The following is a 27,489-nucleotide window of genomic DNA, read 5'->3' on the forward strand; positions in this document are numbered from 1 at the left end:
AGAAAATGATATCAATATGCTGAAGAGATATCTGTGCTCCCATGTTTATTGCAGCACTATTCACAACAGCCAAGATATGGAATCAAACTAAATGGCCATCTATAGATAAATAAAGAAAATGTGGTATGTACGCAATGGAATACTATTCAGCCATAAAACAGAATGAAATCCTTTCATTTGTGGCAACATGGATGAACCTGCAGGGTATTACGTTAAGTGAAATAAGCCAGGCAGAGTAAGACAAATACTGCATGAACTCACTCACATGTGGAATCTGAAAAAGTTGATTTCATGGAAGTAGAGAGTAGAAAAGTGGTATTAAGAGACTGGGGAGGGGTAGGGGGAGCAGGGGCCTGGATAGGTTAGTCAATGAATACAAAGTTATAGTTAGGAAGAAACATTTCTGTTGTTTCATTACACAGTAGGGAGATTACAGCAAATAACAATATAGTGTATATCTCAAGATACCTCGAAGATTTTAAATCTTATCTCCACAAAGAAATGATAAATGCTTAGAGTGATGGATATGGTAATTACCCCGATTTGATCATTATACAATGTATTCGTGCACTGGAACATCACTACACACCCCATAAAAATACAATTATTGTTCGATTATAAATACAACATTATTTTAAAAACTATCAAAAGCAGAAAGAGTTGTACAAAAGTTAAAATATAATGATCAATAAAAAATAAGTTACAGGTATGATATCAAAGAAATCTCCCAAAAGAGAAAGCAAAATTCAAATAGGAGAAACAAAACAAAATAAATCAGAGGGGAGAATGACTAAAAGAAAGAATGGAGAAAATGGGAAGAAAAAATGATAAACAGATAACACCAGAGAATTTCCAGACCTAAAAATAAAATTTTCCACATAGAAAAGAGCTGAGAGTAAAACAAGAAATTAAAAGGAAAATCCAGGTTGTGAAAACCAGATCACAAGAGATAAAGAGTAGATCCTACCAAAAGGATAAAACAATTTGAAAGAGAGAAAATATATAAATATATATATGGATGTGCATATATATAATTTAAATCAAAGAGCAGATAACAGATGAGATCAGCCCTCTCTATAACTGATAGAAGAAACTAGAATATTGGCTATAAATACTTAATTAAAAATTGTTTTCAATATAAAATTTTATACCCAATCAAATTATTAAGTATGAGGATAGAATAAAAACATTTTCAAATATGCAAATTTTATCTAAAGTTTCTCAGAATGCTTAGAATATCTCAGGAAGTTATCAAACTAAGTCCCAGAAAAATAAGTAAATATACTAAGGGTGAGAAATGTATGGGATCCAGAAATAGAGGGTTTAACACACATAAGCTAAGGAACATCCCTAAATAACATCAATTAGGACACACAGGGAATAATTTTAATTTTTTCCCCCATGATGTATAACAAAGTGCAATATCATGAGTAGGGTATAAAATTATCTACCTCATCATTATCTTTGAATTATATATTGCCTTTAAATATTTTACCAATTTGATACTCAAAAATAGCTCACCATTGCTTCACTTTGCATGTCTTCGCAAACTGAGTTTTAAGAGTTTTTGCACATAAGTTATTGGCTTTTTTCCATCTATTGCTCAAATAACTTTAAATATCTATCTCTATTTTAAGCCAGAGCAGCTCAGAGTTGCTTTTATTGACTTACCACTTGATATTATGTTTGATATTAAACCTACACTGAGGGATGTTGTAAGAGAAAACCCACTGGTGTTACTGTGTTGACTACAAAGCTTTTGTTGAGGATACAGCTATTTTATGACATCATACTCTCTGAGTGAGAAGTCATAGACCTTGATTCTGAAGCAATTGCATTATTGTTGTCTTATGAACACTGTTTCATATTCGTCTTCTAATTTTGTTCTTTTTTTGATATATAAAAAATTAAAGACAATATGCAGTCAAATATTTGCAATATTTTCACTGATATTTTTCCATTTATTTTATCTTTACAAAGCTTTCCTTTACCATTTTCTCTTTTTTTCAGAGATGCAGAGGTTGTTTAATATTAGGAAATACATTAATATTATTTTATGACTCTAATAGACAAAAGCAGAAAATCATATATTTTCTAGATACACTAGTTTATTTGACTAGACAGAAGCTAATTTACTAGTATAAAATTTTTAAAATAAAATTCAACTTTTTTCTTGCCAACATTTATTTTAGGTTCAAGGGGTACATGTGCAGGTTTGTTACATGTATAAATTGCATGTTGCATGGGTTTGGTGTATAGAGAATTTTGTCACCTAGTTAATCATCATAGGTAGTTTCTATCCTCACCCTCCTCCTAACCTCCTCTCTCAAATAGGCCCCAGTGTCTATTGCTCCCTTCTTTGTGTCCATGTGTACTTAGTGTTTAGTTCCCACTTCCGAGTGAGAACGGTATTTGGTTTTCTGCTTCTATGTTAATTTGCTTAGGATAATGGCCTCCAGCTTCATCCATGTTGTTGCAAAGGCCATGATTTCACTTTCATATGCTGTGTAGTATTCCATGGTGTTTATATACCGCATTTTCTTTATTCAGTCCACTGCTGATGGGCATCTAGGCTGGTTCCATGTCTTTGCTATTGTGAATAGTGCTGTGATGAACACATGTATGCATGTGTCTTTATGGTGAAATGATTTTCAAATAGGATAAACATACACCTATCTTTTTTCTTTTTTAATAGTTTAATTTAGTACAATTGTTAAAATTTTAGTCTACTATTTATTTTGATACATAGTATGAAGAAAAGTTAATACTTAGACTTTTTTCTAAATAAATAGCTAATTTATCCATTGATTATCTGTTTAATAAAACATCTTTTGTTTCCCTGACAATTGGTTTGAGTGTCTTCTTTTATATGCGATATTCTTGGAAATACGAAGACTATTTCAGAGTTCTCTGTTCCATTGGTTTAATCTACTGGTTCTTGTGCCAGAAAACATTGTCTTAGTTATTATAATTTTGAAATTGGTTTAAATAATCTGTTATGTATGTCCTTTTTCACCTTTCATCTAGGTGAAAAAGTTGCTTAGTGATTTTTTCCTGTTTCCTCTTGCTCTTAAATTTTAAAGTAATTTTATGTGTCTTAGAAAAAAGCTCATTTCAATTTTGTAATTGACTTAATTTGAAATAACTGCCATATTCATTTCTAATTTGAACTAAATGCCATATTATGAGTCTTTTATTATAACTCAATTTAATATAACTCAATTTGAAATAAACGCTGTATTTACTATGAGTCTTCTACTATAAGAACATATTGTGTTTTGTCATATATTCAAAGCTGCTTCTCTATGCTGAAGTAGTTATGTTGTTTCTTTCAGTCCCATATATTATTTAAGAATGAGTGTTTTATACTTCGTTTTTGCTAGTTTGAATGCTGGTGTATAGGAAAGCAATTGTTTGTGTGTCTACTGTACAGTGGAACACTGGGTCCAAGAGTATAAGCCTTGGAATCAGTCAGATCTGACCTCAAGTACCAATGGACCTCAGGCCTTGGTATTGTTTTTCTCATTTATAAAATGATTCTTTGTGAAAGCTGCCTAACTCAGAGCCTGGTACACAAAATCTCCTTAATAAAAGGCAGCCGATATAATACCTTAAGCATCACCATTATCATCTCACTATCTTATACTTTAATTAATTCTGAGATTTAAATTAACTCTTCACATTTCCTAGGTATATGAACAGAGCATCTCTATTAACAATAATGGTATTTTCTAGAATGATACGTCACTTCTTTCATGTTACATGTGTCACACATAACTTTCACAACAATATTAAATAACAATGTTCATGGTATATATCTTTGTCTTGACTTTTATTTTAATGGAACTATTTTTAATAGTAAACTCACTCATTAAGTGTGAGTTTGACTTTTGGTTTATGATGTATATTCTCAATATTAATATTTATCATAAACTACTTTTAGTTTTCTAAGATTTTAAACAGAAAGTGATACTGAAATTTTAGAATGAGTTTCCAGATCATTTCAAAAGAATTAAGCTTTTTCATATTGGATACAGTTATATAGTATATTATGTTAATAATGTTCATAATATTAAGCCATCTTTGCATTCCTGGAATATTCTTCTTTGGTCAGGATGGCTATATCTTTTAATGTGCTGTTGAATTTAATTTCCCAGCAATTAATATAAAATTAATTGCTAGTCAATTTTTTAAAGCATCAAATAAAAGTTTTAGATCAATTTCATTTATGAATATAAATGTATATTCATTATTCTGCTCCCCCACTCCCATCCTGCTACTTCATCATGAATTCATTTTGGGTTGTCTCATTGTCACCTTCTCTTTCATAATTTTGATTACTCTGTCATATTTTTCTACATTTTCTGGAGAAATTCCTATGGCTATCCTTCACAACACATTCAATTTTCCATGATCTCAATTCTGCTCTGTCACAACAGCAATGTGTATTTTATTTGTGCTGCTGTATTTTTGATTCTGTATTGTCTTTCCATTTCCCACGTATTTTCCTATCCATTCTGTATCTTCTTGTTTCAACCCAGTGTGAATTGCCCTGCTTTTTCTGTCTGCTTGTTTGGGAAAATCCCCTTTTCAGGACTAGAGACACACACAACATTGATGCTAACGGGTCTGGATCAAAGCCAAATTGGCAGAATCTAGCAGATTTTTATGGGACTCTACAAGACTAAAGGTGGAGGGTTTTAACTTTTCCTCCTTGCCTTGACCTCTAACACTCTGTATAGAAGGGATATATGTAAACTACAAAATTCACAGTAAATAGACAGGAAACTTGAAGTCTCTGATTCTACTTGAAGATCATGGCTTCTGAAAATTAGACCTCTTAAACATTAGGCATTGCTTCCAACAACTGCTTGCTCGCAGAAACGAAGAGAAATGAAGAGGCTTCCTTCACTGTAGGTTCTATCCTATGGCATCAGAACAAGAGCAATCCTGCTTGCCTTAAAGTAGGTATAAAAGTGCCAAGTGCTTCATTTCTCTATTTTTATCTATTCGTAGTTTAGAAAACAAACACAAAAAATAAAATCTGAACCACTTATTACAGTATCCTTATAATTGCTCTTTGATGTATACAATCATATATACATACCCTCAGAAATACCTGGTCAGAAATTAGGAGTAGTAAAGAAGGACTACTACTGCTGAATCCCATCACTCAAAGTTTAAATCCATATGTGAAGTTCACTAAATGGAATATTTGTGAAAATTTCTTGGCCATTCTGACAATTGGCTGAAAGTCAACTTTTTATTGTTCCTTTAATTTTTTTTTTTTTTTTTTGAGACAGGGTCTCTTTCTGTTACCCAGGCTGGGGTGCAGTGGCATAATCTCAGCTCACCACAACCTTTGCCTCCTAGGCTCAGGCAATTCTCCCATCTCATTAAATTTTTGTTTATCCTCTATGTCTTCATATATTTTAGTGAGACTTTTGGAGAGTCCACCCGAGTGTCCAATCACAAACCTAAATTCCTTTTAACTGGACCATTTAGTCCATTTACATTTAAAGTTAATATTGTTATGTGTGAATTTGATCCTGTCATTATGATGTTAGCTGGTTATTTTGCTCATTAATTGATGCAGTTTCTTCCTAGTCTCGATAATCTTTACAATTTGGCATGATTTTGCAGTGGCTGGAACCGGTTGTTCCTTTCCATGTTTAGCGCTTCCTTCAGGAGCTCTTTAGGGCAGGCCTGGTGGTGAGAAAATCTCTCAGCATTTGCTTGTCTGTAAAGGATTTTATTTCTCCTTCACTTATGAAGCTTAGTTTGGCTGGATATGAAATTCTGGGTTGAAAATTCTTTTCTTTAAGAATGTTGAATATTGGCCCCCACTCTCTTCTGGCTTGTAGAGTTTCTGCTGAGAGATCCGCTGTTAGTCTGATGGGCTTCCCTTTGTGGGTATCCCGACCTTTCTCTCTGGCTGCCCTTAACATTTTTTCTTTCATTTCAATTTTGGTGAATCTGACGATTATGTGTCTTGGAGTTGCTCTTCTCAAGGAGTATCTTTGTGGCGTTCTCTGTATTTCCTGAATCTGAATGTTGGCCTGCCTTGCTAGATTGGGGAAGTTCTCCTGGATAATATCCTGCAGAGTGTTTTCCAACTTGGTTCCATTCTCCCCGTCACTTTCAGGTACACCAATCAGACGTAGATTTGGTCGTTTCACATAGTCCCATATTTCTTGGAGGCTTTGTTCATTTCTTTTTATTCTTTTTTCTCTAAACTTCCCTTCTCACTTCATTTCATTCATTTCATCTTCCATCACTGATACCCTTTCTTCCAGTTGATCGCATCGGCTCCTGAGGCTTCTGCATTCTTCACGTAGTTCTCGAGCCTTGGCTCTCAGCTCCATCAGCTCCTTTAAGCACTTCTCTGTATTGGTTATTCTAGTTATACATTCGTCTAAATTATTTTCAAAATTTTCAACTTGTTTGCCTTTGGTTTGAATTTCCTCCTGTAGCTCGGAGTAGTTTGATCGTCTGAAGCCTTCTTCTCTCAACTCGTCAAAGTCATTCTCTGCCCAGCTTTGTTACGTTGCTGGTGAGGAACTGCGTTCCATTGGAGGAGGAGAGGCACTCTGCTTTTTAGAGTTTCCAGTTTTTCTGCTCTGTTTTTTCCTTTTCCCCATCTTTGTGGTTTTATCTACTTTTGGTCTTTGATGATGGTGATGTACAGATGGGTTTTTGGTGTGGATGTCCTTTCTGCTTGTTAGTTTTCCTTCTAACAGACAGGACCCTCAGCTGCAGGTCTGTTGGAGTTTACTAGAGGTCCACTCCAGACCCTGTTTGCCTGGGTATCAGCAGCGGTGGCCGCAGAACAGCGGATTTTCATGAACCACGAATGCTGCTGTCTGATCGTTCCTCTGGAAGTTCTGTCTCAGAGGAGTACCCGGCTGTGTGAGCAGTCAGTCTGCCCCTACTGGGAGGTGCCTCCCAGTTAGGCTGCTCGGGGGTCAGGGGTCAGGCACCCACTTGAGGAGGCAGTCTGCCCCTTCTCAGATCTCCAGCTGCGTGCTGGGAGAACCACTGCTCTCTTCAAAGCTGTCAGACAGGGACATTTAAGTCTGCAGAGGTTACTGCTGTCTTTTTGTTTGTCTGTGCCCTGCCCCCAGAGGTGGAGCCTACAGAGGCAGGCAGGCATCCTTGAGCTGTGGTGGGCTCCACCCAGTTGGAGCTTTCTGGCTGCTTTGTTTACCTAAGCAAGCCTGGGTAATGGCGAGCACCCCTCCCCCAGCCTCGCTGCCGCCTTGCAGTTTGATCTCAGACTGCTGTGCTAGCCATCAGTGAGAATCTGTGGGTGTAGGACCCTCCGAGCCAGGTGCAGGATATAATCTCCTGGTGCGCCATTTTTTAAGCCTGTCGGAAACTCTCAGTATTAGGGTGGGAGTGACCTGATTTTCCAGGTGCCATCTGTCACCCCTTTCTTTGACTAGGAAAGGGAACTCCCTAGCCCCTTGCAAGACACAGACTGGCAAATTAGATAAAGAGTCAAGTCCCATCAGTGTGCTGTATTCAGGAAACCCATCTCACGTGCAGAGACACACATAGGCTCAAAATAAAAGGATGGAGGAAGATCTACCAAGCAAATGGAAAACAAAAAAAGGCAAGGGTTGCAATCCTACTCTCTGATAAAACAGACTTTAAACCAACAAAGATCAAAAGAGACAAAGAAGGCCATTACATAATGGTAAAGGGATCAATTCAACAAGAAAAGCTAACTATCCTAAATATATATGCACCCAGTACAGGAGCACCCAGATTCATAAAGCAAGTCCTGAGTGACCTACAAAGAGACTTAGACTCCCACACAATAATAATGGGAGAATTTAACACCCCACTGTCAACATTAGACAGATCAACGAGACAGAAAGTTAACAAGGATACACAGGAATTCAACTCAGCTCTGCACCAAGGGGACCTAATAGACATCTACAGAACTCTCCACCCCAAATCAACAGAATATACATTTTTTTCAGCACCACACCACACCTATTCCAAAACTGACCACATAGTTGGAAGTAAAGCTCTCCTCAGCAAATGTAAAAGAACAGAAATTATAACAAACTGTCTCTCAGACAACAGTGCAATCAAACTAGAACTCAGGATTAAGAAACTCACTCAAAACTGCTCAACTACACGGAAACTGAACAATCTGCTCCTGAATGACTACTGGGTACATAATGAAATGAAGGCAGAAATAAAGATGTTCTTTGAAACCAACGAGAACAAAGACACAACATACCAGACTCTCTGGGACACATTCAAAGCAGTGTGTAGAGGGAAATTTATAGCACTAAATGCCCACAAGAGAAAGCAGGAGAGATCCAAAATTGACACCCTAACATCACAACTAAAAGAACTAGAAAAGCAAGAGCAAACACATTCAAAAGCTAGCAGAAGGCAAGAAATAACTAAAATCAGAGCACAACTGAAGGAAATAGAGACACAAAAAACCCTTCAAAAAATTAATGAATCCAGGATCTGGTTTTTTGAAAGGATCAACAAAATTGATAGACTGCTAGCAAGACTAATAAAGAAGAAAAGAGAGAAGAATCAAATAGATGCAATAAAAAATGATAAAGGGGACATCACCACTGATACTGCAGAAATACAAACTACCATAAGAGAATACTACAAACACCTTTACACAAATAAACTAGAAAATCTAGAAGAAATGGATAAATTCCTTGACACATACACCCTCCCAAGACTAAACCAAGAAGAAGCTGAATCTCTGAATAGAGCAATAACAGGCTCTGAAATTGTGGCAATAATCAATAGCTTACCAACCAAAAAGAGTCCAGGACCAGATGGATTCACAGCCGAATTCTACCAGAGGTACAAGGAGGAACTGGTACCATTCCTTCTGAAACTATTCCAATCAATAGAAAAAGAGGGAATCCTCCCTAACTCATGTTATGAGGCCAGCATCATCCTGATACCAAAGCCGGGCAGAGACACAATCGAAAAAGAGAATTTTAGACCAATATCCTTGATGAACATTGATGCAAAAATCCTCAATAAAATACTGGCAAAACGAATCCAGCAGCACATCAAAAAGCTTATCCACCATGATCAAGTGGGCTTCATCCCTGGGATGCAAGGCTGGTTCAACATACGCAAATCAATAAATGTAATCCAGCATATAAACAGAACCAAAGACAAAAACCACATGATTATCTCAATAGATGCAGAAAAGGCCTTTGACAAAATTTAACAACCCTTCATGCTAAAAACTCTCAATAAATTAGGTATTGATGGGACGTATCTCAAAATCATAAGAGCTATCTATGACTAACCCACAGCCAATATCATACTGAATGGGCAAAAACTGGAAGCATTCCCTTTGAAAACTGGCACAAGACAGTGATGCCCTCTCTCGCCACTCCTATTCAACATAGTGTTGGAAGTTCTGGCCAGGGCAATTAGGCAGGAGAATGAAATAAAGGGTATTCAATTAGGAAAAGAGGAAGTCAAATTGTCCCTGTTTGCAGATGACATGACTGTATATCTAGAAAACCCCATTGTCTCAGCCCAAAATCTCCTTAAGCTGATAAGCAACTTCAGCAAAGTCTCAGGATACAAAATCAATGTACAAAAATCAAATCACAAGCATTCTTATACACCAATAACAGACAGAGAGCCAAATCATGAGTGAACTACCATTCACAATTGCTTCAAAGAGAATAAAATACCTAGGGACCCAACTTACAAGGGACGTGAAGGACCTCTTCAAGGAGAACTACAAACCACTGCTCAAGGAAATTAAAGAGGATACAAGTGGAAGAACATTCCATGCTCATGGGTAGGAAGAATCAATATCGTGAAAATGGCCATACTGCCCAAGGTAATTTACAGATTCAATGCCATCCCCATCAAGCTACCAATGACTTTCTTCACAGAATTGGAAAAAACTACTTTAAAGTTCATATGGAACCAAAAGAGAGCCCACATCGCCAAGTCAATCCTAAGCCAAAACAACAAAGCTGGAGGCATCACGCTACCTGACTTCAAACTATACTACAAGGCTACAGTAACCAAAACAGCATGGTACTGGTACCAAAACAGAGATATAGATCAATGGAACAGAACAGAGCCCTCAGAAATAACACCGCATATCTACAACTATCTGATCTTTGAGAAACCTGACAAAAACAAGAAATAGGGAAAGGATTCCCTATTTAATAAATGGTTCTGGGAAAACTGGCTAGCCATATGTAGAAAGCTGAAACTGGATCCCTTCCTTACACCTTATACAAAAATTAATTCAAGATAGATTAAAGACTTAAACGTTAGACCTAAAACCATAAAAACCCTAGAACAAAACCTAGGCATTACCATTCAGGACATAGGCATGGGCAAGGACTTCATGTCTAAAACACCAAAAGCAATGGCAACAAAAGCCAGAGTTAACAAATGGGATCTAATTAAACTAAAGAGCTTCTGCACAGCAAAAGAAACTACCATCAGAGTGAACAGGCAACCTACAAAATGGGAGAAAATTTTCACAACCTACTCATCTGACAAAGGGCTAATATCCAGAATCTACAATGAACTCAAACAAATTTACAAGAAAAAACCAAACAACCCCATCAAAAAGTGGGCGAAGGACATGAACAGACACTTCTCAAAAGAAGACATTTATGCAGCCATCAGACAAATGAAAAAATGCTCATCATCACTGGCCATCAGAGAAATGCAAATCAAAACCACAATGATATACCATCTCACACCAGTTAGAATGGCAATCATTAAAAAGTCAGGAAACAACAGGTGCTGGAGAGGATGTGGAGAAATAAGAACACTTTTACACTGTTGGTGGGACTGTAAACTAGTTCAACCATTATGGAAGTCAGTGTGGCGATTCCTCAGGGATCTAGAACTAGAAATACCATTTGACCCAGCCATCCCATTACTGGGTATATACCCAAAGGACTATAAATCATGCTGCTATAAAGACACATGCACACGTATGTTTATTGTGGCACTATTCACAATAGCAAAGACTTGGAACCAACCCAAATGTCCAACAATGATAGACTGGATTAAGAAAATGTGGCACATATACACCATGGAATACTATGCAGCCATAAAAAATGATGAGTTCATGTCCTTTGTAAGGAAATGGATGAAATTGGAAATCATCATTCTCAGTAAACTATCGCAAGGACAAAAAACCAAACACCGCATTTTCTCACTCATAGGTGGGAATTGAACAATGAGAACACATGGACACAGGAATGGGAACATCACACTCTGGGGACTGTTGTGGGGTGGGGGGAGTGGGGAGGGATAGCATTAGGAGATATACCTAATGCTAAATGATGAGTTAATGGGTGCAGCACACCAGCATGGCACATGTATACATATGTAGCTAAACTGCACATTGTGCACATGTACCCTAAAACTTAAAGTATAATAAAATACAATAAAATAAACCCTAAAAAAAACCCTAAATTCCTATATTTGAATTACTAGTACTAGAATGATCACTGACTAAATTTAACCTACCAAAGATATATATTTTTCATTTCATTCTCCTTAAAACAAACATTTTAAATTTTTTTTACACAAAATTATAATGCGTTATACCCCACATTAGGTTTTATTTTTTTTCCTTTCAAAGTGGGGACTAAAGTTGCATGTATCAGAATCCTCTGAGATGCTAATTGAAAATATATATGCTTGGCCTTAACAAACATCTACTGAATTAGATGCTCTAATTCCAAGAATCTGTGTATTTGAAAAGCTCCTCAGGTGACTATTATCATACTAAAGACTTCAGTGACCTCTGCTGTATTATAAGCTACATTGGTCTGTTCTCATGCTGCTATTAAAGGCATACCCGAGACTGGGTAATGTATAAAAGAAAGAGATTTAATTCACTCACAGTTCTGCAGGGCTGGGGAGACCTCAGGAAACTTACAATCATGTCAGAACGGGAAGCAAACATGTCCTTCTTCACGTGTTGGCAGCAAGGAGAAGCGCAGAGTGAAGTGGGGGAAAAGCCCCTTATAAAACCATCAGATATTGTGAGAACTCACTCACTATCATGAGAACAGCATAGAGGTAACTGCCCCCATGATTCAATTACCTGCCATTGGGTCCCTCCCATGACATGTGGGGATTATGAGAACTACAGTTCAAGATGAGATTTGGGTGGGGACATGGCCAAACCATATCACAAGCCTATATAAAAAGGGTGAAACTAAAGAAAGGTCTTTGAGAGTGATTTCAAATAATGTACAAGGAACAAACACCCAGACACAAACACACATGCGTGCACGCGCGCGCACACGCGCGAGCACACACACACACACACACACACACTATTTCTACAAAATATTACCACACCCTCATCTAGTATAAGCTTGCTATTAAAACAAGGGTTTGGGGATCTGGGAACACTAGGGTAAAAAGATATTTCAACAACACAAGGCATTGTTGTTGGCCTAATTCATTTCTATTATGTTTTCATTTTAACTACTTAATAGAGAAATTCATAATTTCATTTTAGTATTGGAGTAAACTAAAAAAAAGACCAAATGTTTGGAACTATTGAATAAAAATCCAACATAGAAATAATTTGATCCATTAAACCTTTGGCATCTGCCTTGAAAAGTACATATGTTTCTTTGTGTTATTTCTCAGTATATTAATATGAGAAATGCATGAAGCACAGAGGTTAATAGGAATATGGAGAGGTTTACTAGACCACTTACAGTGTAATTGTGACCTGTCATTACTGTGAATTTTTTTAAAACAGTGATTAATCTCAGTGTTATATTTATAGATTGTTTTCAGTCAATTTTTTTGTCAAGTACAAAAGTGACTATATATTTTCATCCTACAATATGTTAAGACATTACAAAAGCTTAATGGAATAAATTAATACAGAATGAGCAATGGAGAAGGGGCAGCTGAAGCACAGTGCTTAAGTGTACAGTATGAAGAGTCAGACAGTAGAGATTCCCATATACCTGGATACCAGCTGTGTGATGTTATAGAATTTACTTGACCTTTCTGTGTCTCAGTTTATATTTCAAAAAAGCAGGCCCCTAATTGTGCCCACCTGATTGGTTTGTTGTACTGATTAAATAGCATAACATGTGAAAAGCTCCCAGCATCTGACATCTAACACATAGTAAGATGGCCTATATTCTATTAGCTAGAATTTCTTACTAAGTTTCCAAAGCTCAACAGCAAAATCAAGATGGCTGGCAAAGATTAAAAGTCAGTCCAGGCCGGGTGTGGTGGCTCATGCCTGTAATCTCAGCACTTTGTGGGGCTGAGGCAGATGGATCACCTGAGGTCAGGAGTTTGAGACCAGACTGGCCAACATGGCAAAACCCTATCTCTACTAAAAATACAAAAATTAGCAATTAGCCAGCATGGTGGTGTGAGTCTGTAATCCCAGCTACTCGGGAAGCTGAGGCATGAGAATCGCTCGAACCCGGGAGGTGGAGGTTGCAGTGAGCAGAGATCACACCACTGAACTCCAGCTTGGGTGACTGAGTGACACTCTGTCACAAACAAAAAAAACCAGTCCAATCACTAAATGCTCCTGCTTGTATGCAACTGAATATTAAGAATAAAATGGGGTTTCTTACATGTCTACTATGTCCCTGAAACTTTCATAAATTCTGGAGGAGTCGATATGAAGGAAACAACGGCTCTTGCTTTTAAGATGTTTATAATCCAAACAGGTCAGTCATCAACCGAATGTGCTAAATGAACTGAGACTAATTAGGAACATTCCTTGGACTCATGGTTTCTGTTCCATACACTTCTTTTCAAATTAATACACACTAATTAACATTTCTCACACCATATCATGACAGATATGTGCTAAGACAGTTTAACCTTCTTGTTTATTTTTGTTTATTTATATTATATATCGTTTTGTTGTAAACCAGGAGAAATGAGAAAGAGTGTGAGCTCCTTTTTCACTTCAGAAAGGACTTAGTATAGGTTTTTTAAATCTCAATTTCTTCCCTACCTCACCGTCTTCAAAATGTCCTTCTCTTTTTCCTCATCTAATGAAAAGGTAGCATATCTGAATTACTTACTAGGCTTTTGCAAGCTCAGTTGAAATTATAAAAGAGATGATGTTGCTTTGGGGAAAAAGATGAATCTGTTCGAAAAGAAGGTGAGACATATGCAGGAACACAGGTATTTGTAACTTACTCAGGATTACAAAGAAGAAATTAAGAAGGACATCCAAAGTTGCTCTTGGCATCACAGTTAGACTGAGTGCTCAGACGGTTCATCCAAGGCAGTAAGAAATAAAGTTTTTTATTACTATATTGATGGCAGCTACATTTCTAGCTGCATGCTTACACTTCAAGAAAAATGCCTGAATGATGCCTCTCATTTTTGTTCCTTGAAACGAATCCAAGAATGTTTCCCTAATTTACCTATCTGACTCAATTTTCCAAGATAGAGACTGAGTGAAACAGGTAATATCGGCCCATAATTTTAACAAGGGTCACAGAAGAGTACACTGGCAGCTTTTCAAAACCAGAGAGAATAAATGTTAGATTAGTAAGTGACACTTGTAGACTATTAGAATTTAATGAGTATACTATATTTAGACAGATATGACAGATGTTAATCTCTGATATTAATAAAAATGCCTAAAAGTTCATTTTGGAGAAAGATCTGAGTATGAACCCAGACTATGACATATCCTGGTTATGTAAACTCTGGCAAGTTTCTTAAGTATCTAGACTTGAGTCTCTAAGTCTGCAGAATGGGCCCAATGGTATCCACCTCCCAGGGTTATTTAAATAAGAATGCATACAAAGTGTTCAATAAAGTTCTGGGCACATAAAGATTGTATTATTCCAAGGCCTCGATATTCCCACACAGCTGCTATGCATTGCTTGAATAGCCAGTGCTGCTGAGGAATGCAGAAATGTTGATCAATTTTCTAGCAATACAAGTCTGTCAACATAAATTTCCAAATACCAAAAAGAGCACATATTAACTTAAATACTGAGATTTATAAATCTATAAATAACTTTTTTTTTTTATAGGGTCTCACTCTTTTGCCCAGGCTGGAGTGCATGGGCGCAATCTTGGCTCACTGCAGCATCGACCTCCCAGACTGAATCGCTCCTCCCACCTCAGCCTCAGGAGTAGCTGGGACTACAGGCGCATGTCACCATGCCAGGCTAAGTTTTGTGTTTTTGGTAGAGACAGGGTTTCACCATGTTGCTCAGGCTAGTCTCAAACTCCTGGGCTCAAGCAATCTGCCCGCCGCAGCTTCCCGAAGTGCTGGGATTCCATGTGTGAGCCATCGCTCTCAGCCTGATAATTTTCTTAAAATTGCCAGTGCTACTGTAAGAGACATAGTTAAGTTTATATTAAAAGGAAAACCAAGGTATTGCTTAGTTGTCATAAAGTTGTGTGAAGATTAAGTGAAATATGTTAGTGGTTTTCTCACAGAGTATACACACAGAGAGTTACACTTTACACAGAAATCTATATATCCCACAAGTAAACTGATTTTAAGGGAATCATTTTCTAGTTTCCCAATTTCCATATGTATGATGTCTTAAATTTTGTATGCCTGAGAAACAATGCAATCAAGGCATCCCGCTGGTTCTTCTGTCTCAACTCCTCTGTTTCAACAGTCTTTCCCTTACTTTCGAAAAAAAGCATATTTTTCATTGATCTCAAATATTACAATAACATATACATAGAATATAAAAATTTGGGGATACCAAACAAAATAATTCAAAATATTGGTGTTGGTTTTGAGAAAATGATTGATTCTAATGATTGAGTGACAAAAATTCTTGCAAATCAGGTAAAACCCAGGTTTCTGATTTCAATAAAATAGAAAGAGCAAGTCATCAAGTTGCTTAATCACTTTTGGTGAAGATCGCTAACTAATTTTAGGCTTACAATGGAGAAGGTGTCCAAATATTTAGGTAAAATGACTATAATAAACTCCTTCCAGTTTATTTATTTAGATAAACAAGGATTTCCAATGTCTACACCTAAAAAAAAGAATAAAACTGATGATAAACTCTATTTAAGAATAATATGTCTCGATAGATACATGATCAAATTATTTAAAAAGCCATATGTTTCTCATTAATAAATGAATCTTCAATAAAATTCACTTTTATTTTGAATAATTGTCAATATTTATGATATATTCATGCTGTTTTGATAAAGTATAAATTATAAATTCTAACAATACAGGAAATCATTTATCATTTAAAGACTGAATCTAGGAATTTTTAAAATGTAAAAGTCCATTTATAGACATATATTTTGTTAAAGAGTACTTCCAAAGAGGATCCTTAAGATGTTCAAATTTTAAAAAAAACATAAAAATAGGATAAAATTTGATGGAGAAATTGTTTTAAAATATGAGTTTAAGGAGGAAAAAAGAGGCAAAACTTCCCACTATTTGTTAGAGCATGTTTATGAATTTTTAAATGGGTGATGATAAATATAAAAAAGCACAGTGGTGTTATTTATTCCTAGTAGGTTTATTTAAAAAATGCTGAAACAATTTCATTTAAAGAATTCATATTTGCAAAACATGGGGGATTATGTCTTTTGCTAGCACTTGAACTTACTGCTAAAATTCTCAGGTCAACTAAAATGAGTGAGGAGTATATGGTTTATAACGTTTTAATTGTAGGGTATTTGTAAGCATAACAATTTGAAAACCACAGAAATAATGTACTGTATATAAAAATCTTCAGTACACTTTCCAATCCAACATTTTTTCACTGAATTGAATTGAAACGTTGGACTCTCCAAAAGCATAGCAAGTAAAGTTAAGCTGGCCTGACCAAATTCCTTTCTCTTCTCTATTCTGATAACAACTCTTATCATCACTCCTGTATAACCCTGGCAGTCTCCACCTTCAAGTATCAGACACCATGTATGTGTCTCAAAGGTTTACTATGCCCCACACTTAAGGACCTCTTGGAATTTGAGGTGTTTTCTACCAGCCATTCACATGGTACTAAATTTTTGGGAATGCACATCAGGACATTTGTCTGTCAGAGAAGGTTTCAAGCAGCTTCCAGGATTGATGAATAATATCATGAACAGTCTATAAAGATGACTTTGGAAGAGCTCAGTGCATAGTGTAACAGTGCTAACAGCAGGGACACTGCATTGAAATAGCATATCTCCAAATCATTGATTATCTCCTCCCTTCCACTAATAAAAGGATAGCATTGTCTGGGGATGGCAAGAAAGCAGTAAATTAAGAGAGAAGAGCAGTAAGCTACCAGCACTGCTGTTTCCCACACTTTAAGGGTTTGAGAACATAACTAGGTAAATTTGCATGTAAGCACTGTCCTAGAAGAGAGCTGTTATTTCTCAATATGCTAGTGTCTATACAAAGTTAAGAAGAAAAACATAACATTTCACAATCGAGAACGTAATTTTATCCTTGCCTAACTCACACCTGTTTCCTTTTCAAAGGACTAGTGATATCCATAAATTGTCTTCAATGGCACTCATAATAAATTCTCTTTGCATAAACAATGGTTTCCACTCAACATTTAATCTTAAAAGAGTGAATGTTATTCCCTACTCTGAGACCTCAAAGACTGTGTTCCACTTTTTCTAAGAATTCTGACTTCATTTACTATAATTTGTTTCAGATACTTAACTGTGGGCAGAGATTCTTATTTATTTATCAAATACTATACCCCTCTAATTTTACCATTGCTTAAAGCGTTTGACATTATTTTGGAAATAAGATATTCTAACTAAAATGCTCGATGATACTAATCTTTCTTCATCTACTGTTCTCAAAGTGTGGTTCCCAGATCGGTAGCAAAAGCATCATCTGGAACTTGTTAGCAGTGTACATTCTGATACATAAGGCCCTCCAAGCCTTATGTATCAGAAACTCTGGAGAAGAGGTCCAGCAATCTGTGTCACAACAAGCCTTCCAGTTTCTGATGCATGCTAAAGTCTGAGAACCACTGATCTACTGGAATCTCACCTCACCAAGAGGATGTTGATATGCAAAAATTGGCTACAGTTTACAAGTTAAATAAAAATATTTTTCTTTACTAACATAGATGAATCCTGATCCATAAAAGACTCATAAATATAAATCTTAAATCCCATAAATTAAGAATCTGATTTCTTCTTATGTAATCAGACATTTGCTTCTAGCAGGTTTCAAGATCTTCAACTACGGAGAGGCAATGACATTTTGATAGTCCTCTAGATTTAAGGAATAAATATGCTGGCTGTATAGTCAGAGTAATGCTAGAGAGTTTGGTCTGATGCTTAGGGATTTAGGACGACGAATGGATAGAGATGGTGAGGAATCTCATTCCAGTCATGCTCTCCTTTCCTAATTTCCCTTTTCACTGTTTGGTCTTCTCCCCCTTTTCCTTAGGGAGTCGAGTGATTGATAGCCTAATCCAATGACTGTATTACAGCTGCCTCAACTAGGACTCTTTTCCTTATCATTAGCAGTTAGCCTATGGTTAAATTCACAGCTCACTGCTTGGTACAGCCCCTGAGATTTAAGGGTCTGGCCTTTAGAAAATATTTAACATAAAACTGAAATCTTGACATACTGAGAACTCAGTTCTCTGCAAGGCTTCCTTAATTAATCCAATGTACTGTACCATTGTTCTGTATGAGACTGTGACATGGTGAACTGTTTCTGAAGCTTACAGAGATGTGTAGTTCTAAATTAAACAGCCACTGACGTGTACCTACACTGATTTTTTAGTACAGTAGATATGCATGAATCTGTGAATATTTAAATTCAAGCTCAAACAGTGACACAATACTCTCTAGTTTTACTTTCATAATAGAACATTTTTTGATTAATTTCAAGCTTGAAATCATTCTTTATGAAAAAACACACACAGAGGAAAGAAATTTAATAATTCATTACCACTGCTGCAAAGGTAAGTTTTCTTAATATGCTTGTCAGAGTTCTTTGGTTTACAAAGTCTATCAAATATTTTCTTAGGAACTGGAACAGACATTAATTTATTTTCCTAATTTTTAACCAAAGGAAAATATATATAATATCCAGGTACCCATGAATTTGTTGGCTCTTAAATACTATTTGGTTCTACCATTTATCTGCAGGACAATAGTTATCTTAAAATACCTAAGGAAAGGATGTAGACCTTGATCTATGCTTTAAACCTTTGCCCTTGCTCCAGTCTGTCCATGAGCTGTAAGCATCTATGAATATGGCAGCTGAGTCCCAGATGAAAAATTATGCATCTCATAAACTGCTATTCTGCTGAAATGTCAAGCCAAGGCAAGGCTGTACCTCAGACTCAGCACTTGGCATTTTCCTTCTGTCTGCTTTGTTGCCATGAAGCAAACATGAACAGTGAAGATTTGTGTAGGGCAGGTAGCAGGCGAGCTCACTGTCAAAAATCTATTATTAGGGCCCTGGTCTCCTGCACAGACCAACGATGGCTAAACAGTGAGATACTGAGGCTCTGAGAAAGGCAACATAATGAAAGAGGGGATTCTTTGTCAATCTGTACATGAATATATTCAAATGAGCATTATTTAAATGAGAATATTTCTAATGGTAAGCCTCTCTCAACCAAAGTGATAATTTATAATAAAATTGTAATCTAGCATCTGTATTTGAAATGCCTACTTTTGACTGTTCTGCAAATATAGTACATACATATTTGTATAACAAGTTCTTTAATAGTTTGATCAGTTAAACTTGTAATAAGCTAAGAATGTTTTTACATAGGTGAATAACAGGCCAGATTTTTTGCATTACTTTTGTCCATACAAAAAAAGGAAAAAAGTGAGTATAAAATGGAAGGCTCTCCTTTTAATTATTCTTTTTGCATGAATTACTACATTTTTATCCATTTAAATTCTATCTTTATCTATCAGGTTATTTTAGATCTTCAATGTTAAAGCCTAAGCTCTTATCGATCAAGATGATTACAATAGATAGCTTAAATTTGATGACAGATAATAGGCATGTTTTTCTAAAAGCAATTTATGCATCGATAATCATGTGATTGACACATAAAAAAATCCAGCACATTAAAAACAACTTCCCAATTAAAAAAATACTAACACTGTTTTTTATGATGGAATTGTAATGTGTGGTGTAAGAACTTAAAGCAATCCTGCCAAAATCTTCAGTTGCTGGCATGCGTGAAAATAGTTATTTAAAGAAAAATGTAACTAAAACTTCTGAGTTTGTAATCTGTTTTGTTTTGCCATCTCCCTGATTTTACACAAATATTCACTAATAAATACAACAAAATAAGTGTATGATTAGAGTGGGTTACACTGGATTTGTGTTTACGTAATGCCCAGTAGCACAGTGTATGCTGCCAAGTTATTATTGCATTCTAACAATTCACGCCTAAGTAACTATCTTAAAAACACATAAACTATGCGATGTGAAGTCGATGCCTAAAATCCCTTTCTAAGCTACTATATTGATTCACATTTGTGCAAGTTTTCTAAATTATACACTTTGTACTCACTTCTGGCCCTACACTGACGCAGATCTACAAATTACTAGCTAAATTTCTAACTTGTACCTTCTTTTATTAGTATTTCCTATGTTGGATTTACAATGAAAACACCTTTAGGAAGCTAGTAACCATACAAGCCAGTGTCCAATATCTCACACAGCTAGATTTCAAATCATTCATTATTCACTTGTAGACTCTAAGAACATTCATGGAATATTCCATTATAACTTATTTAGAAATACACAGTCATTTACTGGATTCTGTAATAACCTCTATGAGAGGAGTAACTTTGAGCTGAAACAGAAAATCTTAAAAGCCATCTTTTATGAATTATTCAGAAATCAATAATAAAGTTTATGTCTTAATACTGAAAAAAATGTGTTCTATTGTTGTAATTGTATAAGTTCATACATAATGAATAACTTCAAACAAGCATTCAAAATTTGAAGTTAAGAACAAGAATTTCCTTTCCTTTGGTGAAAATAGAACAAATTTGGCAAATAAAATAATTTAAAATAATAAGTTTTTCAAGCTTGTGGGAAGTAAATTATATTGAGCCTAAAGTGTCTATCATTATTTCAATTTAAGTGCCTTCTGCACTCTTTCCTATATATGTGAATGTGCATGTGTTTGTAAGTGCAACACACAAAATATATACAGGACAATGAAATTCATTCCCCATTAATAAAAAAAAGTTAAAAACACAAGGAACAACAACGAAAACTTCAAATGAATTCACCCCATTGAAAAATGCTTGAATACTGTTTCTCCCGAAGCACCTGTAAATGAATAAAGGTTATCCTCATGAAGTCAGCTGCAAGAAAGACATCTTTAGCTTATGCCATGCAGGACTGATTCTTAACCAGCTCTGAAAGAATCTTACCCACAGGGAGGATTTCATGTGAAAATGTCACACCACAGCTGGATAACACCATTTATATAGGTGATAGTAATCACTGATTTGGGGGCTATCTTAAGATGCCCTCATTATTTGGGAATGAAGTCAGAAAAAAAGGTCAAAATTTCAAACTAAAACAAGAAAAAAAGAAATTAAACTGGGAAAAATAATGGGTCACGCAGTCAAGGATGGAGTTTATAATTGTTACTGAGATTAGGGTTTTTTTCCAATCAAATAAGTCAAAGAATTTCTTCTTCCTTTCCTCTCTCCAAACCCAATAAACTATTCAGCTGTGTGATGATACATGAATTAACTGCTGTTTGATGCAACAGAAGTTTTCTGCATGGATTCTAGAAAAAGGAAAGGTCGTAACAACTTAGTGTTACATCTATACTGTCCAAAGAAAGGTACAGAATTATTTAGAATCAATGGTTTAGACAGAGTACTTATATGGTGGAGAGCTGAATCAGCCATCCTTGTTTGATAAAAAATATTCCTTTTGGATACCAAACAAGATTTCCTTTTATACTGTTCTCACTATGAAATCATCTGGTATATAATTCAACTTTTTAATGGAGCAATACTATGATGTATTTCTCCCATAATTGAAATTCAAGTTTATAAATCACTTTATTATGAGTTTGTTTCATATATTTAAGCACCGCCCCCCAGAGTTTAATCATCTGTAGATGAATTAGAAAAAGTGCTTCTAAAATAGCAAAGCTGAGGATAAGACCTTGGAGTGAGGTCCTAATTTGCTCTCTTGATGTAACTTTTAAGCTACAGCAGGTAGAAGTTATCTTTCTATAGTCTTATTGACTTCTTTTATTTAACAAAAGAGACCTCCCTCTGAAACAGTAACTCTCAAAATATTTTGAAGTTAACTAAGTAAAAAGTGCGTTTTACATTATGGCATATATAAGTGTATATTATGTGTATAACTGAAAAAGAAGTTTGGCCAAACAATGCTTATCCCAACTATATGCAAAGCATTCTGACATTTCTTATTCTATTTCATTATTTAAAATGTTGATTACAGTTCACTAAACTTGATTGCATAGTATACTCATGAGTTGGGAACCAACCTTTGAAAGACATTGCTCTCAAATCCAGGCTACTTATATCGGAAATAATTCCACTGACATTCCTTAGCTGAGATCCCGTTTTCCCAATGCAAGTCACTGTCCCTTATTAGCTAATGCATTTTCTCTAGAAGAACATTCCTGAAATGTGCCCAGTTTTCTACAGCAGGTATACTACTCCAGGTGCCTCACTATTTCCGTATTTAAACAAAACATAATCTTCATTTCAAAGAGCAGAAATCTTATTCTGAGAAAAATAATAACAATTGAATAAACAGCTAAAGAATATATTGAAAGGGGAAAATATCCTTCACTGGCAATGAAAAGTATGTATTGTGTTCAGGTGGCTATCCAAAATTAAACTCTATTTAGTTTTCACTTTTTAAAAATCTGTGATTCATGCAGCATCTCTGAAAGCAGACATTGCCATGCTCTGAGACAACACTTGAGCAGATATTAGCACTGTGCTATGGTAAATTTTTTAAAAATCTTATAAAAATATCTAGCTTATTTTGTGTAACTTTCAGTATTAAGGCAGCATTTGAAGTCCTGACAACCATATTTGATACAACTCTCGTAAAATTTGAAACCATTATTATTTAACACAATTTTGCTAGGCTAAGTTTTGCTATAACTCATACTGAAGGTACTCTGTTATAGAACTTGCTCTGTCCTAAAATATATTATCATTGCCTATTTAAACTGCTTTTCAGATTCTATTACTTTTAAACTTAAGCAAGCATTACTTTAAAGGAGGAAAACTATATTAATTCTGTCAATGTGGAGAAAGGCTATTTTCAAAACAGATTGTTTAATGTGAAGAAACTTAATATAGAACCTATTAGAAATGAGGTACAAGTCCTTTAAAATGTTAGGGATTTTTTGTTGTTTAAAATGAAAGTTCTACCCAGGCTTACCTAAGCTTATAGCCCAAGTGAATATTTATATATGAATTTATAAATCTTAGAAATAGAGTTTTATGGAAATGCTAACAGGCCCTGAGGTATGACTGAGCTTGTTTTCAGGTACTGCTATAATTTCCAGTGTGTGTATGCTTAAAGACTGCAACACAAAAGACTTTTTCTAATGCTGTAATTTTGTAGTTTTATTAGACTGAGTTATAGTATGGGAGAATATTCAGACATTGCAGCTTAAATGAGAAAACATGAATGGTGTTACTTATATAAAATACTACTGCAATAGTTCTTTTATTAATTTTTAATGTTCAGCACCCTCTGTGACCTCCTTTATTCTCTTGCTGTCAACATGGCAGGCTGGAAAAATTGAAATGGGCTGACAGAAAACATAGTGCATGTTACAGCCCAACTCTGGAGTCTCTTGACTCTCTTTCTGTGGCACATGCTAACGCGGTCCACGTTATTCTGCATTACAATAATATTTAAGGCCCTGTTTGATAGCTCCTGATAAAAGCGAGCTGTGTCTGGAGCCTGAGCAGGTGCTCCTCGTCAGCCTTCTTCTTTCTGACATTGTGGGAATGGCATTCAATTAAAAGCAGAATATAACCGTTTTTGTTCTTCATGGCTCACAGGCATACTTCATACTCTCAAAACTGAATACCTCAGCATGGATAGAGCTTTATTTGTGTCTGTCCAGCCTCTTCCAAAAGCACATTTTGGTCTGATTCAGCAATGCTTTTCTTGAACAGTGGGGCACTGTTATGTTATGTATATTTACCACTTTCTCTATCACCAAGGAGACTAATCCCAAACCAGTACAGTCAAGAACCTTACAGCATTGTCTTTGCAAGACCAAGTTCATGTTGTCACAGTCACAGAGTGCACAGGGTAAAGATACTGAACAGGACCTTGAGATTAAAACCTCTCTTTCTTTTTCAAATTCAAGCGTATGCTGATGAGAAAGAGCGTGCAAAGGTGTGAGGTCTGCAAATGTCTTGTCAGCTGATGCTTAATTCAGTGTTTTAATGGCTTGTTTGGGACAGTTGGGACAAGGTTTTTGAAGAAGGTAGATGTCTAAATTCTAGGAAGAATGAAAACTAGTCCAGACCATGAAAAAGATATTATAATGAGGGTACTTATATTTTTCTCTCAGAGGGCCCTCATATTAACCCTTACTAGTAAGTGGCAAAAGAACTGAGAGACGATGAGAAATTCTTAGGAAAGCATGGACCACAAGAGAATAGAATTTGTGCAAGACCTTATCTTGATATTCTCTCATCCTGTGCTGTCACTTGAGCTTTCATATTCAATCCGTTCTGTCATAACTATTAGGAATATTGATCAGCTATGAGTTATAAGAATTTGGGATCATAAAGGGCACAAAACTCTTGCAACATGACCTTCTGATTTTTCAGCAACCTCCAAGAAAGCACAATGCAAGAAGTGGGCAACACCTACCAGACACTCCTCCATATGTAGTTCGCTTTGCAATCCCCACTGCTGGCCAAGGTGTGCCATCAGATTTTAATCCCATCAGACCTGAGACAGTGTTGGTGGCTGTAACGCCATTGGCACCACCTATGCAAGACACATCAACATTTTCATGCAGCTCTTATAAGACACGATAGTTAAAACCCATTCAAACCCTCACATCCCAGAAAAATGCATTCTATTTTATCTTGAGAACATGTCTTCTCCTCAAAGTTCTTCACTAATTTAACTCCTACATTTATGTTTAAAATTTTAAACATTAAAGAAGTTTTAATTACCACAACTTTACTTTCTCAAATATTATACAGACTTGTTGTTACCAAATGTTTTGTATTTGGTGTTATTTTCCAGGTAATTTACAATGTCTTTGCAAGTCAGGGTGCAATTTCCCTGGGATGGAACACAAGCACGCATGATTTTTGTATTCAACAGATATTTATTGAGCATGTGTTTAAGGAAGTCAGCTAGGCCCTACAAAATATGAAGAGAACTCATAAGAAATTTCACATTGTGCAAATTGAATTTTCTTTTTTTCTTTTTTACTCATTAAAGTTTAATATATTGAATTGTTACATTATGAGGTCATTTATTTTGGACGGGTTTGCTGTGACTGTGTTTTTTGTTCTTATAATGTGTGAAATAAGTGTTTATTAGGAAAAACTATAAAGGATCTTGTGTTTCCAGATCAAAATTCATGGTCAATTTGCTAGCATGAGTCCAGGTGTAAATCTCCTGTGTTTGTGGGATCAAGTGCTCAACTGGAAACTTTTAAAATTGAGACAAAAAATATGCACATGTTTGTAGGAAAAGACATACTTGAGTATGGCTACATAATGTGGGCCAATATTTACAATAGCGGGCAACTGATTCAAGTCAAGTTCTTACCTTCCTTTGCAGCTCTTGCGATGCTCACAATATCAGTGACATTTGGGGTCAGCTTGGCAAAAAAAGGAATCTGAACAGCTTGCCTAACCCAGCGGCAGATGTTCCGCACCAGCTCTGGATCCTGTTCAAATAGGTCGGTTAAATATAGAACAAAATTAAAGAATTGTGATCAAAATGTGTACTGGAACAACAGCAAAGCTGGAGACGTGCAAGACAAATCCAACTTGACAATGAGCTACATGATATATTTCTCAAATTCCTCCTCAGTATTACACCTAGACTCATTAGGGAACTAAGGTTAACACACTTCAAGTGAACTGCAAATTCATCACATAAAGGTTAAATTCCTCAACAGAGCCTTTAGAAAATAAAATTTCAAAGAACAAAATGGAAGACAGTGTTTCCCACTTTCAGTTAAATATTATCAGGAATGAAACACAAACTTTTGATGTTAAGTACAAGAAACATTACAAAATTTCTAGTGATCTCATTGGTTTAAGCAAAATAAAAAATATTTAAAACTGCTGACTCAAGTGAATGATATTAAATCTAAAGCTTGTTTTCATTATTAGACTTAGTCTTGATGTGTATTCAAAATAAAATCTATGACTTCATCATCAATCTACATGTGATATATAGTATATGCAAATATGGAATAATTCAGCCTTGTATTATACATGAGCTGATCAGTAACTTTAATTTACTTTTGTAAATGTTACCAAGATCTGTGCAGCATTTTCAGCACTCACAAACTTGACAGAATTGATCAAAATGACAAAAATGAAATAAAATATCAAATGCTCATTTTAAAAAGCAAGAAATAGACATTTCCATGTGCCTATTTTCTGTGATTTTCCAGGCTCTTATTTTCTCATGGGGCAAGTATCATTTAGAGGGCAAACACCTATCCTCTCCATTGAATAACTTAGCTACAGTACAGTAATGTTCTTTGATTTCAACACATACAATAGTCCTTTTTTTCATTACTTTTAGTGCAAAATTTATTCTGACAGGTACTGATAATGTGCTTTGATAAATTACCTTAAAGTATGCAATAGCAATTCATTATCGAACTTGGTAATATTATCTTAGCAAGTTAAAATGTTTTTGAATAAAAGAAAAACCCAGAGAAATACAGTCATATATTTAAACTATGAAATAGCAGGCAAGCATATCATTTGTAATTAATGTTTTTGTATGTAAGAAAGTTGCTCTTTGCATTTTAACCTTTCGAATTCCTTTAAGATGAGATTTGTAATGTTATAACCTTTAGAAAGAACCTTCTCACTTAGGTTTAATGTGTCTTGATCCATCATCCTGTATTACTCAAAAAGTTATGCATTTTTGTGCTAAGATACTGCAATGAGGTAATTTCTGTTGATTGTTATCATCTCTATTAAGCAAAACTTAATACTTTTAAAAAGAAGTCTTTGGCTTGGCTTATTCTCTTTTTAGAACAGTAATTTCTTCATTAAACATAAATATTAAAAAAGTGCTATATGGAATGCTCTACAGGGCATAGTGTGCATTATGAATAGTAAAATGTGGAGACTTAGCTGTACAAATTCTAACTCATGAAAATGGAGATCTGCCCCTGCCCATGCAATGCTCATGAAATATTTATAACCACTGCATTGGTATTATGAAGGCAGTTGCATCTTTGTGACTTTCATTTCTAAGTTATGAATTTCCATGGGACTTAGCCTAGAAATGACAGT

The 27,489-nt window shown here is 35.5% G+C and overlaps 1 protein-coding gene and 1 long non-coding RNA gene across 7 annotated transcripts in view; one reads left to right on the plus strand and one right to left on the minus strand.

Moving 5' to 3' along the window:
- DPYD (dihydropyrimidine dehydrogenase) overlaps positions 1-27,489 on the minus strand; it is an 843,317-nt gene that overhangs the window by 202,663 nt on the left and 613,165 nt on the right. For all 6 annotated transcript variants that reach the window (XM_047448077.1, XM_017000507.2, XM_005270562.3 and 3 more), the window contains 2 exons: positions 25,772-25,892; positions 24,854-24,973 (listed from right to left, as the gene is read on the minus strand). In XM_047448077.1, coding sequence (XP_047304033.1) covers positions 24,854-24,973; positions 25,772-25,892 — 241 coding nt within the window. The remainder of the gene's footprint in view (positions 1-24,853; positions 24,974-25,771; positions 25,893-27,489) is intronic.
- The window catches only part of DPYD-AS1 (DPYD antisense RNA 1), a 227,033-nt gene that overhangs the window by 184,483 nt on the left and 15,061 nt on the right, over positions 1-27,489 (plus strand). Inside the window, exon 3 of the long non-coding RNA NR_046590.1 lies at positions 25,784-25,904. This is a non-coding gene — a long non-coding RNA (DPYD antisense RNA 1). The remainder of the gene's footprint in view (positions 1-25,783; positions 25,905-27,489) is intronic.

Source organism: Homo sapiens, chromosome 1 (genome assembly GCF_000001405.40).
Source record: "Homo sapiens chromosome 1, GRCh38.p14 Primary Assembly".
In the NCBI taxonomy this organism is placed as follows: domain Eukaryota; kingdom Metazoa; phylum Chordata; class Mammalia; order Primates; family Hominidae; genus Homo; species Homo sapiens.